Source organism: Homo sapiens, chromosome 4, assembly GCF_000001405.40.
Source record: "Homo sapiens chromosome 4, GRCh38.p14 Primary Assembly".
In the NCBI taxonomy this organism is placed as follows: Eukaryota; Metazoa; Chordata; class Mammalia; order Primates; family Hominidae; genus Homo; species Homo sapiens.
Genome location: NC_000004.12, coordinates 39,217,430 through 39,232,102, shown reverse-complemented (window position 1 = coordinate 39,232,102; position 14,673 = coordinate 39,217,430). Strand labels below are relative to the sequence as shown.

At 37.0% G+C, this 14,673-nt stretch overlaps 1 protein-coding gene across 10 annotated transcripts in view; it reads right to left on the bottom strand.

Annotated features, from left to right (window-relative positions):
- The window catches only part of WDR19 (WD repeat domain 19), a 103,282-nt gene that overhangs the window by 53,708 nt on the left and 34,901 nt on the right, over positions 1-14,673 (bottom strand). For all 10 annotated transcript variants that reach the window (XM_011513724.2, NM_025132.4, NM_001317924.2 and 7 more), the window contains 5 exons: positions 13,998-14,120; positions 7,070-7,219; positions 3,746-3,893; positions 3,413-3,617; positions 147-306 (listed from right to left, as the gene is read on the bottom strand). In XM_011513724.2, coding sequence (XP_011512026.1) covers positions 147-306; positions 3,413-3,617; positions 3,746-3,893; positions 7,070-7,219; positions 13,998-14,120 — 786 coding nt within the window. The remainder of the gene's footprint in view (positions 1-146; positions 307-3,412; positions 3,618-3,745; positions 3,894-7,069; positions 7,220-13,997; positions 14,121-14,673) is intronic.

The following is a 14,673-nucleotide window of genomic DNA, read 5'->3' as shown; positions in this document are numbered from 1 at the left end:
TTTAAGGACTTTGATCAGTAGGAAGTGGTAACGTTCTATCGATTCACTTGTTTAAGAGGTAAGATTAAATGCAAAAAATTTAGACTGCATTTAACTTAAAATAGCATTTAAATTTTAACTTGATAATTCTATAACATGCTGTTTACCTTTATTTGTTCCAAGGACATCACTATGCCAACATTTCCAATTCTCCGATAAACACGGATTGCAAACTCCACTTCCATGTGATGTAGACAAGCTCTGGCCAACTCATTCCAGGCAGCCTCATCATTCAGAATCCTGCACATTTCCCAAGCATCAGAAAACCTGGGATGTAAGAACATAAGCTTAATCAGAATGTTCCACTTGCCACATGTTAGGCAATTTTCAGACTACATGTCATCTAATAGCGTGCCCCAGATAAACTGTCTAAAACATTTCTTAACCTGTAATTGTCATTTACAAGTAATGAAAAAACACTTAAGCTTTCTTCCTTTTTTTACAGATAAATGTTTTTCCCTAAATTTCTTTTATTAATCTGAATCTACTCTGTAATAAGCCTACTCAATTAACTAAGCTAATCCTATTCATTTATTTCTTTTTATTTCACACATAGATGAATATTATTTTTGTTCTCATATAAGTCTAATAAAATTAGTATTCTATTCCTATAAATTTAGAAGTTTAAAACAGGGGTCAGCAAACTATGGCTTATGGGCCAAATCTAGTCAGGTGCTGTTTTGAAAATACAGCTTGAGTGGAACAAAGTCACTGATCAGCCCACTCTTTTTTTTTTTTTTTTTTTTTTGAAGACGGAGTCTCACTCTGTTGCCCAGGGTGGGTGGAGTGCAATGGCGTGATCTCACCTAACTGCAACCTCGGCCTCCTGGGTTCAAGTTATTCTCCTGCTTCAGCCTCCCGAATAGCTGGGACTACAGGCGCATGCCATGACACCCGGCTAATTTTTTGTATTTTTAGTAGAGACAGGGTTTCATCGTGTTAGCCAGGATGGTCTTGATCTGCTGACCTCATGATCCGCCCGCCTCGGCCTCCCAGAGTGCTGGGATTACAGGTGTGAGCCACCGTCCCCGGCCCAGCCCACTCTTTAATGGATTGTCTGTGGCCACTTTCCTGCTACAACAGCCAGACTGAGTAGCTGCGATAGAGACCCTATGGCCCGTAAAGCTTGAAATATTTGCCATTTGGACCTTAACACAAAAGGTTTTCCGACCTCTGGTTTAAAACATGAACATAAATGCCAATTAAACTTTTTGTGGAACCTCTACATGAGTGAATATATTACATCCATCTATCTATTCATTCATCCATTTATCTATTCACCTATCCATTTTTTCATCCAACACACATTTACTGAACTCGTTACATGCTTGGAAACATGATACAAAAATCAACCACAGTTGCTGTCCTTAAGGCAGTCACAATTGGGGAAGGTGGAAGAGACAGATAAGGAAACAAATGACTATAGCATAGTTTGACAGAGGTAACTGAGTACTTACAATAGGTAACTCTTTGTGCTAAGTCTTTTGCATAAATTCTCTTACCCTAATAACCCTACCCACTAAGTATTATTATTATGTCTCCTTTATAGATTAGGAAAATGAGGCTTAGAGACGTCAAAAGACTAGCCCAAGGCACACAGAGGTAAGTGGTGTCATGCTCTTCACCACTGTGTATACTGCATCCTGGCTCTGAGGCAACACATCAGAAAGACCCCAAGCAGGACTGCCTGTGGTGGTGGGGAAGTCGGGGAAGGCTTCCTGGAGCAGGAGATGGCTCCACTTATCGCTGATGGGTAAAGAAAGAGGGGTTACTACATTCAGAGCAGGGAAAGGGCATTCCAGGAAGAATCATGAAATATATGCAATTTCAGCAGCCAGTGGAACAGAGAGGGACTTGAGTGGAGACAGTTGAGCTGGTGTTAAATCATGAAGTGCCTAGTAGGTCATAGAGGTCCCCCAGGAATGGATTTGTTTGTAAAGGCAATAGAAAGTCACTGAAGGATCCTGAGCAGGGAAATAAGAGGATCAAATCACATCTTCAAAAGTGTGTGGAGAACAGATGAGATCGTTACAAGGCTATTGGCAGACAGAGCAGTTAGGAAGTGGTTAGTTACATTACACATTATTCCAGGTGAGGGCCTGGGTAAAGATGAGGGAACACGGGAGGAGGAAAGGAGCTGGTGTATATGTGTGTTAAGGCATGTGCATGTGTGATTACAGTGAGGGAAAATAGGGGCCTGTGGAAATTGATGAGTTCAGTTTTAGAAAGGGCAAGTTTGAAGAGCTCATGGACTTCCAAGGACACATGACTGGAAGGTAGTTGTAAGTACAGGTTTAAGATAAAGACACAGATTTTAGAGTCAGCTTCATATGGGTGGTATGTTGAGCCATGTTAAGCAGAGGAGATTCACTCAGGAAGAATAATTAGAGTAAGAAGAGAAGGAAACTCATGAGACCCCAATAAACAGCAGCATTTAAGAGAGGCTCGGAAGAATTAGAACGTCAAAGGAATTCACGGTGGCTCTAGGAGATAAGAGAAAAAAACAGTAAAAGGAAATTATAAGCAAAGCAAAATCAAACCTCACTATGATGAAGTCAAGATATTGTTGAAATAATTAGGTTTATTTTATTAGGATTTCCCAATAACTAGGCTCTCTGGAAGCTTAGAAACCGTTTTGTTCTTAAGGGCTTTTCTTGTAATAAAGTACTCATAATAAAAACAGCTGACTATCTTATCTGAGCCTCACAATATCCCTGTGAAATGAACAAGGTAAGTGCTGTTATCTCCATCTATTGAATAGGATTTGACATTTTATCAAAAAGACACCTGCACTCATATGTTTACTGCAGCACTATTCACAATAGCAAAGTCATGGAATCAACTTAAGTGTCCATCAACAGATGACTGGATTTTAAAAAGTGGTGTGTATATATAGATATACACACTATGGAATACTACTCAGCCATTAAAAAAATGAAATCATGTCTTTTGCAGCAATATGGATGGAATTCGAGGTCATTATCCTAAGTGAAATGCCCCAAAGTCAAAAACTGCATGTTCTCACTTAGAAGTGGGAGGTAAACAATGGGTACACATGGACATACAGGTGGAATAATAGATACTGGCAACTCCAAAAGGCGGGATGGTGAGACAGGGTTGAGGGATAAAATACTACCCACTGGGTACAGTGTTCACTATTCTGGTGATGGGTACATTAAAAGCCCAGACTTCACCATATGCACTATATCCATGTAGCACAACTGCACTTGTACTTCTACATTTACAAAAAAAAAAAAAATTCTTGCAAGGATAAAGAATAAAGCAATAAAATAAGATAGAATAATTATAGGATTTGACCTTTAAAATCACAAAAGCAAATGAGAAGTTCCAAAAGAAGTGTGTGAAAGCCTACCTCTTTAGCATTAAATTCTGTGCCAGCATTGGTCTCAGTTCGTCAGGCCCCGTATCTTTTAAGTTGCTGAGAAAGCCATGGGTGCTAAGGTAGATGTTGTTTACTTTTCCACTCTGTGTTTGGCAGGTCAGCTCTCCATTATATAGCAGCAAAGGTTTATGAGCAAAAGGAACTTTGGTGCTACCAGCCAAAATAACCTTGGCTCCTACATTATAAAACAGACATCGCAATGCTGAAAGCTAATACTCAGCACAAACATCAGAAAGAATGTTTTAATTTTACTGCAATGGGAAATTCATCTGTCAGCGAATATACACAAAAGGGGTTTAGTACCTTGTATAGTGTCCTTGTGAAAGACATAAGTGTACACCTTATCATCATCATAAGCAATAAATACACCTTTATCCATTGGCCAGTTTTCCCAAAGAACACCTTTAATGGTTGGTGAAAAATCTGGAATCTCATAGGTAGCGTCATTGACCTACAAAATAAAATTTACAGATTTGCCCCAAGTCTGTACTTGAATCATTATCATTTGCCGTGGTAGAAGCCTGTTTGCAGCCTTAGCTGGCTTAGCTTACTGAGTCATATTCAACCTAACATCACTCCAACAACAACAGGAAAGAAAGTTTCTTTTTCCATTCCTATCCTAGGTCTGGCTTGAAAAAACTATAGTTATTTGGAAAAGCCAAGGTTTGATCTAAAATCTGGCAAATTTGTAGGAGAACCCACAAGTCTAGACACAAAGCTTCAGGTTAAGGAAAAAAAATTAAAGCTGCTCAGGATGACAGAAATTTAAACTACGAACACACTTGTACTTGTGTTTAGAAATTTTTCAATAATACTGAGTATTTGATAATAGTGGGTATTAAGAAACAAATTAACTCACATGATTGAAGTAAATTACACTAGGGATACTTTATTTCAAAAGCTTCTCTAAAATGCATGTCAACAAATATAAATATACAATCATCCCTCAACATCCATGAGGGATTGGTTCCAGGATCTCCCACGGATAGCAAAACCCACAGATGGCCAAATCCCTGAATAAAATGGTGTAATATGTGTATAAACTATGTACACCCTCCCTTATACTTTAAATCATCTCTAGATTACTTATAATACCTAATACAATATAAATGCTATGTAAATAGTTGTCATACTGTATGGGGAATATAGACAACAAAAGTTTTCTGCACAGGTTTAGCACAGACAAAACCATCCATTTTTCCCCTGAATATTTTTGATCTACAGTTGGCTGAATCCATGGATGAGGAACCCACAGATAGGGTGGGCTGACTGTAATATTATACTAAATAAGCTGTTTACAAAAATCAGTCCATATAAGTCCTGTGAACTCAGGCAGGTAGGCTTGTATATATCCTGAATAGGGAACTGAAAAATATCTGCCTCATCCTACTCTCAAAATGAGAATGAAATATAAAATTCTTGCAAATAATAATTCATACTACAAAGCTGTGTTATTTAACATAGTAGTTGCTATTATAACATCTACATGTAGCCAGATGTACCTATTAAGCACTGAAATGTGCCAAGTCCGAATTGAGATATGTTTAAGTGTAAACTACACAGAGAGTTCGCATGAAAAAAAGATTGTAAAATATCTCATTACTTTTTTTATATTCAATTACACATTGAAATGATAATATTGAGATACCATTGCACACCAGTCAGAATCGCGATTATTAAGTCAAGAAACAATAGATGCTGGCAAGGCTGAGGAGAAAGAGGAACGCTTTTACACTGTTAATGGGAATGTAAATTTGTTCGACCATTGTGGAAGACAGTGTGGCGATTCCTCAAGGGTTAAATTAAATATATTAAAATTAATTTCATCTGTTCGTTTTTTATCTTTTAAAAATGTAGCTAATAGAAAATTTTTAATTACATATTTGGTTCACATTATATTTGTATTGGACAGTGCTACTTACAAGATATTGTACTAATTACTTCATTTAATTCTAACCTTATACTCTAGAAGACAGATACTATTATTATTCCCGTTTTACAGATGAAGAAACTAAAGTACAGAGAAATCTGCCCAAAGTCACACAGCTAGTAGGCTGACGAGCCAGTATTTGAACCCAGGCAGTCTGGCTCCTGAGTCTCTGCTTCTAACCACTATGCTATACTGATTCTCACTTTGTATAGATGAGCACATCAGTGCCACTGGACTAGTGGCCGAACTGTTTTCAAAAAAGATTTAGTGCTTATTATGTGGCTAACACTATACTAAAAGCTTACATGCATCATCCTATTTACTTTTCATTTAACAACCCTACAAAGTAGGTACTAGAACTGTCTCCATCTTAGACAGACAGAAAAACTGGAAATCCAATCAAAGTGAGAGCTCTTTAACAGAAATTATCAAGAAAAAGAGAACTGTAAATGGAGAAAGTAAAAATGATTGAAATCACCTTGTTTAAGGCTGACCTTACTCCTTACCCTTTTCCTAGCAGCTACACCCTATTTCTGAATTTAACTCCTGACAGATACCTGATTTACCCTCCTACTCTCTTGTATATTCTGTCTAAGCCACAGTTTCTAACTGTGGTGAACGCACACAGGGGAAATTCAAGGCAGCTCTAATTAGTTCCCTGTTATAGAAAGGAAACCTATACAAGGTGGAATTTCTGTATTAAGTAGAGGAAACTCGAGGTTTATCTTCATTTATGTCATCCTCATTTGCTTTGCAATTGGGAGAGGAATGCATTGACTAAGAACTAGCAGATTAGGAATTTGGCATATATAATCCAGGTACATCTGTGGAAATTTGTTATACTTGTCAAATAAAGAAAGAAAAGAAAAAGAGAAGAGAAGGAAAGGAAGGGAAGGGAAAGGGAAGAGAAAGGGAAGGGAAGGAAAGGAAAGGAAGAAGGGGCGGGCATGGGGAGGAAGTAAGTCTTTGTATCAAGTGAAGTGTAGCAGTGAGGAGCAGGCTGTTTACATTGGGGAGACAACACAGTGAGACCTAGGCACCTGGAAACAGTATTAAGGATGGGTCCACAAGCAGCTGTAGCTTATGTGAATTTGACCAAAAACACAGTAAACCATTAACAGGATATAAAAAGTAAATGAAAAATCCAATTGTAGTTAACTAATGTAAAGGCACATCTCCTTTTTTCTAAATCTATTTTCAAAAAAGTTAAGGATGTTTAAAAATATGAGTGACTGATTTTTAAAATGGGTTCATCCATTTTTACTCATCTAATACAGAAATACCTGTTCCTTGTGCTCAGGATCTTCAAGGAAAGAGGAAAATCAACTGAGGTGGGCAGAAGGCACAGATAAGCTCACTGCCTATTGGGAGAGAAAAGTCATGTACAGGCAGATACACTATAATTATTGTATTGTGCAGTAAGTATATGATAAGTTTGAAAGTGGTTTAGGATATAATAACTATTTTTCCCATTAAAAATCTTTCTGGGATGGCCACTATGAAAAATTACAGAATAATGGAAAAAGTTTTCTTGATATGAGAAATCTATCATAAACATGATATTATGAAGATGACAGCAAAGAACTACAATCCTTGGCACTAATTAATAGAAAATTTTACATGAGATAGGCTTTAAACACTTTTTTTCCCTATATTGCATTTCAAAAAATAAACATTTAAAAATGTTCCAGACTTACTGGACAGTAAACAAATCCATCACTTTTTTCATCAATGAAAACTAATCTGGTCCCATTTGGGTCGGGAAAAATCTTTTTCACACTGACAGGATGTCGATAATCATTAACGAATTGCCAGTCTTCAATGTAGAAATACTGAACGACACCAGTCTAAAAAAAAAAAAAAATCCAGCCATGAAAATATAAAAGGTAGTCAAGGAAATCCTAACTTTCAACATTTAAATTAAACATATGTTCTAATTTTAAGAGAAAAATGTCATGTTTTTGATGAAGTATCTAAGAATAATATTTAGTATATGTGAAAGGTACAGACTCAAGAAAATAAATAAAATGGGAAAAGCTGGGCGCAGTGGCTCTTGCCTGTAATCCCAGCACTTTGGGAGCCCACGACGGGCGGATCACAAGGTAAGGAATTCGAGACCAGCCTGGCCAAGAGACCAGCCTGGCCAATATGGTGAAACTCCATCTCTACTAAAAATACAAAAATTAGCTGGGCATGGTGGCGGGCGCCTGTAATCCCAGCTACTTGGGAGGCTGAGGCAGGAGAATTGCTTGAACCCAGGAGGCAGAGGTTGCAGTGAGCCGAGATTGCACCATTGCACTCTAGCCTGGGCAATACAGCGAGACTCTGACTCAAAAAAATAAAAAATAAAAAATAAAAATAAAAATAAAATGGGACTGTACCTGTGATTAAACAGTCTATTAATTCTAACATTCTTAGTGATATTAAAGCATAATTGATTTTTAGATTTCCTACTTGCTAGAAATACCCCTATTATATAGGAGTAACTTTTAAATACATTATTTCAATTTTTTGCTATTAATAAATTAGAAAATTAATTTTAAGACAAAAAAATCCACCTGATAGAATCAACTGAATGTATATTAGCAATGAACATGTACATACCAAATTAAAAATGCAATACCATTTACAATTACTCAAAAAATGAGATACTTGGGTATAAACTTAAACATAACATGCCCAGGACTTGTATGCTGAAAATTATAAAACACTAATGAAAGACACAAAATATTTAACTAAATGGAGAGGTATACTGTGTTCATGGATGGGAAATTAACATGTTAATTATTCCCATCTGATATAAAGGTTTAATATCATTCTAATAAAAGAAATTTCAACAAGATTTTTTTGTAGATAGACACACAATTATTCTAAAATTTATACAGACTGATAAACTAGAAGAGCTAAAACAATTTAGAAAATAAAGTGGGAAATTAGTCTACCCAATTTTAAGGCTTTCTTTTTATAGCTATAGTAATCAAGACTGCGTAGTATTGGTGGAAGAACAGATACACAGATCAATGGAAGCCTGAAATAGAGACAGATATGTTCAACTGATTCTTTTTCCTGTTTTAAAGATGCCTGTATTTGGCCAGGCGTGGTGGCTCATGCCTGGAATCCCAGCACATTGGGAGGCCGAAGTGGGTGGATCACGAGGTCAGGAGTTCCAGACCAGCCTGACCCCATCTCTACTAAAACATGGTGAAACCCCGTCTCTACTAAAAATACAAAAATTTGCTGGGCGTGGTGGCGTGTGCCTGTAATCCCAGCTACTCAGGAGGCTGAGGCAGAAGAACCTCTTGAACCCAGGAAGTGGAGGTTGCAGTGTGCTGAGATCGCGCCACTGCACTCCAGCCTGGGCGACAGAGCGAGACTCCATCTCAAAACAAAAACAAAAACAAAAAATGAAAAACAAAGAGGACTGTACTTTTATTCTTATTTTTAATAGCTTTATTGATATAATTTACACACTATAAAATTCACCCTCTTAAAGGATACAACTCCATGGTTTTTTGTATATTCATAGAGTTGTGCAATACTTCATCACAATCAATATTAAAACATTTCATAACCTCAAAAAGAAACTCCACTTGGCTGTCAGTCCGTATGCCCTTCAATGGGCAAATGTTAAACAAACTAAGTACATCCATACCATGGAATACGACTCAATAACAAAATGGAACAAACTATGGATACACACAACTTAGATGAATCTCCAGAGAAGTCTGCTGAGTGAAAAAAAAGCCAATCTCAAAATATTGCATACTGTTTGATTCCATTTACACATTATTGAAATGGCAAAATTATGGAAATGGAGAACAAGTTGTTACCAGGGGTTAAGAATGGGGTGGCAGCAGAATTGTTCTGTATGTTGACTGTACCAATGTCAATATCCTGGTTGTGATTACTATAATGTTACCACTGCGGGAAACTAGGTAAAGGGGTACCTAGGACTTCTCTCTGCGTTGTTTCTTACAACTGCATGTGAATTTTACAAGGATCTCAAAACAGAAAGTTTAATTAAAATTTAAAAAAAGGTAACATTTTGGACTTCTATTCAGGGCAAGATAGAGAAGGATAATCTTTTCAAAAAATGGTGCTGGAACAACTGGATATCATTTGCAAAAAGTGATCTATACCTCATGGCATAAACAAAATTTAACTCAATGGACCTAAATGCAAAACATAAAACTATAAAATTTCTAGAAGAAAACATAGGAAAAAATTTTGTGACGCTGGGTTAGGCAAAGATTTCTTAGCTATGACACCAAAAGCATGATCCATGAAAAAATAAATTGATAAACTGGACTTTGTAAACATTAAAAAAAATCTTCTCTTTGAAAGACACTATTAAGAGAATAAAAATACAATCTGTGCGCTGGAAGAAAATATTTGCAAAGCATACATCTGATAAAGGAGTTGAATCCAAATATATATAAAGAACTCTCATAAATCAATAAGAAAACAACTCAATCAAAAATTGGTCAAAAAATTTGAACAGACGCTTCACCAAAGATATACAGAAAGCAAATAAACATATGCTAAGTGCCACATCATTAGTTCATTAGGAATCCAAATTAAAATAACAATGATACCACTACACATCTATTAGAGTGGCTAAAATGAAAAAGACTGATTATGTCACATCTTGGTGAGGACAGAGAGGAACTGGAACACTCACACACTGTTGATGGGAATGTAAAATGGTACAACCGATTTAGAGAACAGTTTACCAGTTTCTTGAACATGAATGTTGATAGAGGCTTTATTTGTAAATACCCCAAACTGGAAATAACTCAAATGTTCACCTATAATTCTTGGATAAGCAAATTATGATATATACATACTATAGACTACTACTACTCAGCAATAAAAAGAAATGAATTACTGACACACACAACAGCATAATGCATCTCAAAAAAATTAATGTTGAATAAAAGACAAACAAAAAGTAGTGCATACTTTATGTTTCCATTTATATGAAACTCTAGAATATACAAACATTTATTACATTTACAGTTACAGAAAAAGCATGGGGTGGGGACAGATGAGAGGGAGGAATCATAAAGGAGCAGGAGAAAACTTTTGGGGGTGATGAGTATGTTCACTATTTCTGAGCCTCAAACTCCTGAGCTCAGGCAATCAGCCTGCCTTGGCCTCCCAAAGTGCTGGGATTACAGGCATGTGCCACCACGCCTGTCCAAATTGTATAACTTTAATAGTGCATTTTTTTGCATATCAATTAAACTTCAATAAAGCTGCCAAAAAACATGATATTTTCTGAATCACTCAAGAATGAAACCAGGATAGTTGCTGCTTTATGAACAGACTACTACACTTATTCCAAAAGCACTGTGGCATAGTGGAAAGAGTAGATTTTCCATCAGGAAATCTTAGTTTAAGTTCCACTTTGCTACAGACTTGCTAGCCTCTCAATCTTCAGTATCTTCCTCCTGAAAATTTCCCTGTGTATTTTATAGATAATGAGATAAAATAAGTGAGATCAGGGCTCTATAAACTATTAGTGTCATACAAATTTCCTATTCCATATTTTTCCATATCACCAAATTACCTGATATATGAGACCTACCTTACTGATGTATATTATCTCAGAGACTTACTAGTTTAGGTCAAACATAAATTTTAAAAAGTCTCTCAGATGGCAACAAGCATGCTTTAAAACATGTTCTTTTAAAAAAAATAATTTAGGCCAGGCTCCTGTGTCCCATGCCTGTAATTCCAGCACTTTGAGAGGCCAAAGTAGGAGGATCACTTGAGACTAGGAGTTCAAGACCAGCCCAAGCAACAAAGGGAGACCCAGTTTCTACCCCCATCAAAAAAAAAAAAAAAAAAAAAAAAATTAATTAGCAGGTTTCTAAAATAAATAAATAAATAAATAAAAAGAAAATATAAAAAATGTTTCAGCTGGGCACGGTGCCTTGCGCCTGTAATCCCAGCACTTTGGGAGGCTGAGGCGGGTGGATCACGAGGTCAGGAGTTCAAGACCAGCCTGGCCAAGATGATGAAACCCCGTCTCTACTAAAAATACAAAAATTAGCTGAGTGTGGTGGCGGGTACCTGTAATCCCAGCTACTAGGGAGGCTGAGGCAGAGAATTGCATGGGCGACAGAGAGAGACTCTGTCTCAAAAAAAAAAAAAAAAAAAAAAAATCAAGGAGGTCTGTTTCTAAAAAAAAAAAAAAGAAGAAGAAGAAGAGAAAAAAGAAAAATAATTTAAAAAACTAAAAATTAGCACGACATGGTGGCATGCATCTGTCCTAGCTACTCAGAAGGATAAGGCAGGACGATTGCTTGAGCCCAGGAGGTTGTGATTGTAGTAAGCTATGATTGTGCCACTGCACTCCAGCCTGGGTGACAGAGTGACATCCTGTCTCTAAAAAACAATAATGATAATCATAATTTCATGTGAGAAAGTGGAAACTTTTAAAGTAGTAAATAACTTTTTGTTTGTTGTTATTGTTTTTTGTTTTTTTGTTTGTTTGTTTGCTTTTCAGACGGGGTCTTGCTCTGTCACCCAGGCTGGAGTGTAGTGGCGTGATCTCAGCTCACTGGCAACCCACCCCTGGGGCTCAAGTGATCTTCCCACCTCAGCCTCCTGAGTAGCTGGGACCACAGGCACACATGACCACGCCCGGCTATTTTTTTGTATTTTTATTAGAGATGGGGGTGTCGCCATGTTGCCCAAGATGGTCTTGAACTCCTAAGCTCAAGCAATCCACCCGCCTCGGCCTCCCAAAATGCTGGGATTTTAGGTGGGAGCTACTGCACCGGCCACTATTTTGCTAAAGTGGAAAACAAAGCATTTTCTAACAACTTAATTCTTTTACAGACTGAACAAGGTAACAGGCATGATATGCTTTGAAAAATCTGTGAAAACTGTTTACAAATATAAGATGCTATAACTAGTTTATGTGCATGTGGCTAATGTAATATTTGGAGATTTAGGGTACCCATGGTTCAAAGGACCAAGAAATTGAAGTCAGATTCTTAATATTCAATTAATTTTAATATTTGCTGAATGCCTACTAAATGCACGCATTAGAGATCTGAAGTTGAATTGTCTATGTTCATCACCAAATTAAATCCTTAAAGCACCCAGATAAGGAAAACAAGGCTTGGAGGGGTTAAGCACCAGCTAGCAAGTAATAGAACTGGTGTTTGAACCCAGATTTGCCAGTCTCCAAAGTCTGAACTTTTCACTAGGCCATCAAAATTGCTTAAAAATCACAAAACCACTGATATTAACAAATCATGCCACCTGTGTGTTCTATATATGTACCAGTCATTCGCCACATAATGTTTCGGTTGGCGATGGACTATGTACATGATGGTAGTCCCATAAGATCAGGATGGAGCTGAAAAATTCCTATTGCCTAGTGACATCATGGATGTCATAATGTCAGAGCATAAGGCATTACCCTGAAGTTTGTATTGATGCTGGTGTAAACAAACCTCGTGTGCTGCCAGTTATATAAAAGTATAGCACATATAATTATGTGTAGTACATAATACTTGATGATGATAATAAATGACTGTTACTGGTTTATGTATTTATCATACTATACTTTTTATTTTTATTTTGGAGTGCACTTCTATTTATTAAAAAAAAGTTAACTGTAAAACAGGCTCAACCAGGTCCTTCAGGAGGTATCCAGAAGAAGGCATTGTTATCACAGGAGATGACAGCTCCATGCATGTTATTCCCGCTGAAGACCTTTCAGTGGGACAAGATGCGGAGGTGGGAGACAGTGATACTGATGATCCTGATGCTATGCAGGCCTGCACTAATGTGTGTGTTTGTGTCTTAGTTTTTATAAAAAGTTTAAAAGTTAAAAAAAGTGAAAAACAAGGAAAAGCTTATAGAATAGGATATAATAAAATATTTTTTAAGAAAATATTTTGTGTAACTGTACAATGTGTTTGTGTTTTAAGCTAAGTGTTACTACAAAAGAGTCAAAAAGTTTTTTTAAATATAAAGCTTATAAAGTTACAGTGAGCTAAGGTTAATTTATTTTTGAAGAAAAAATGTTTAAATAAGTTTAGTGTCCCTAAGTGTACAGTGTTGATAAAAATCTATGGTAGTGTACAGTAATGCTGCAGGCCTTCACGTTCACTCACCACTCACTCACTCACTCACCCAGAGCCATTTCCAGTCCTGCAAGCTCCTGTCATGGTAAGTGCCCTATACAGGCATGCCATTTTAAATATTTTATATCACACATATACTGTACCTTGTCTATGTCTAGATAGCATTGTGTTACAATTACCTATAGTATTCAGTACAGTCACATGCTGTACTGGTTTGTAGCCTAGGAGCAATAGGCTCTACCACACAGGCTAGGTGTGCAGTGGGCTGTACCATCTAGGTTCCTGTAAGCACACTCTATGACATCCACACAATGATGAAATTGCCCAATGACACGTTTCTCAGAATGTATCCCCACTGCAAAGAGACACATGAATGTATATAATTAATCACAGATAACTTCATTAATTGTATTGGATTCAATATAGAAAAAAGACTGGTAGGAAAAGAGAATGACTGAGATCACAAAATAAAAATTAAAAATTCCCAGTGTTCTCTAAAAAAGAAGGCAATACATACATCTGTACCATAGATGAGGAAATCACTAGTTAAGGCATGGCATAAGATACGGCACTTATCATCCACTGCTGGGAAAAGCCGAGTCTCACGTTCTTCTTGAGCATCCAAGATTTCGCTTTCTATCTAAAACGTAAAGAATAATAATGGCTCACAGATTTATTTGAGTAAACCATCTATACAACATCTAGGGGTGTCTTTTTCTCAAGTTCACCTAAACATTCAGGCTCCCAAGACTACGAGAGGTCAGTTTAGTTGGAAAGCTATCACACAGGAACCACGGCTTGCCAGCAAGGTAGCACAGATGTCCCTCTTAGTGTGAACAGTCTTTACTGCAGGCTCTGCAGCTATTTAATTGTTAATCTCTTTGTCTTCCTAGATGTAAAGAGCCATGAAACAGATGTGAGAGATGCCCTGACTTAGAAGCCCCCTCTTCACAGGTGCCAACATCTCTTGAACAACTCAGCAGGCATGGTTTCAAAGACCCCCCCACACAAAATGCCCGATTATGAGTCAACACCTTCCAGGAAGCCCAAAGGTATGGCATTCCCATCAGGTTTTTATAGTTCATGTATAGTTCCTTCTAGCTCCAATTTACCAACAGGGTAATTATTATTATTATTACTGTTTTACTAAAGGCTATGTTGTGAGTAGCACTGTTGGTATTTATCAGGTTTTT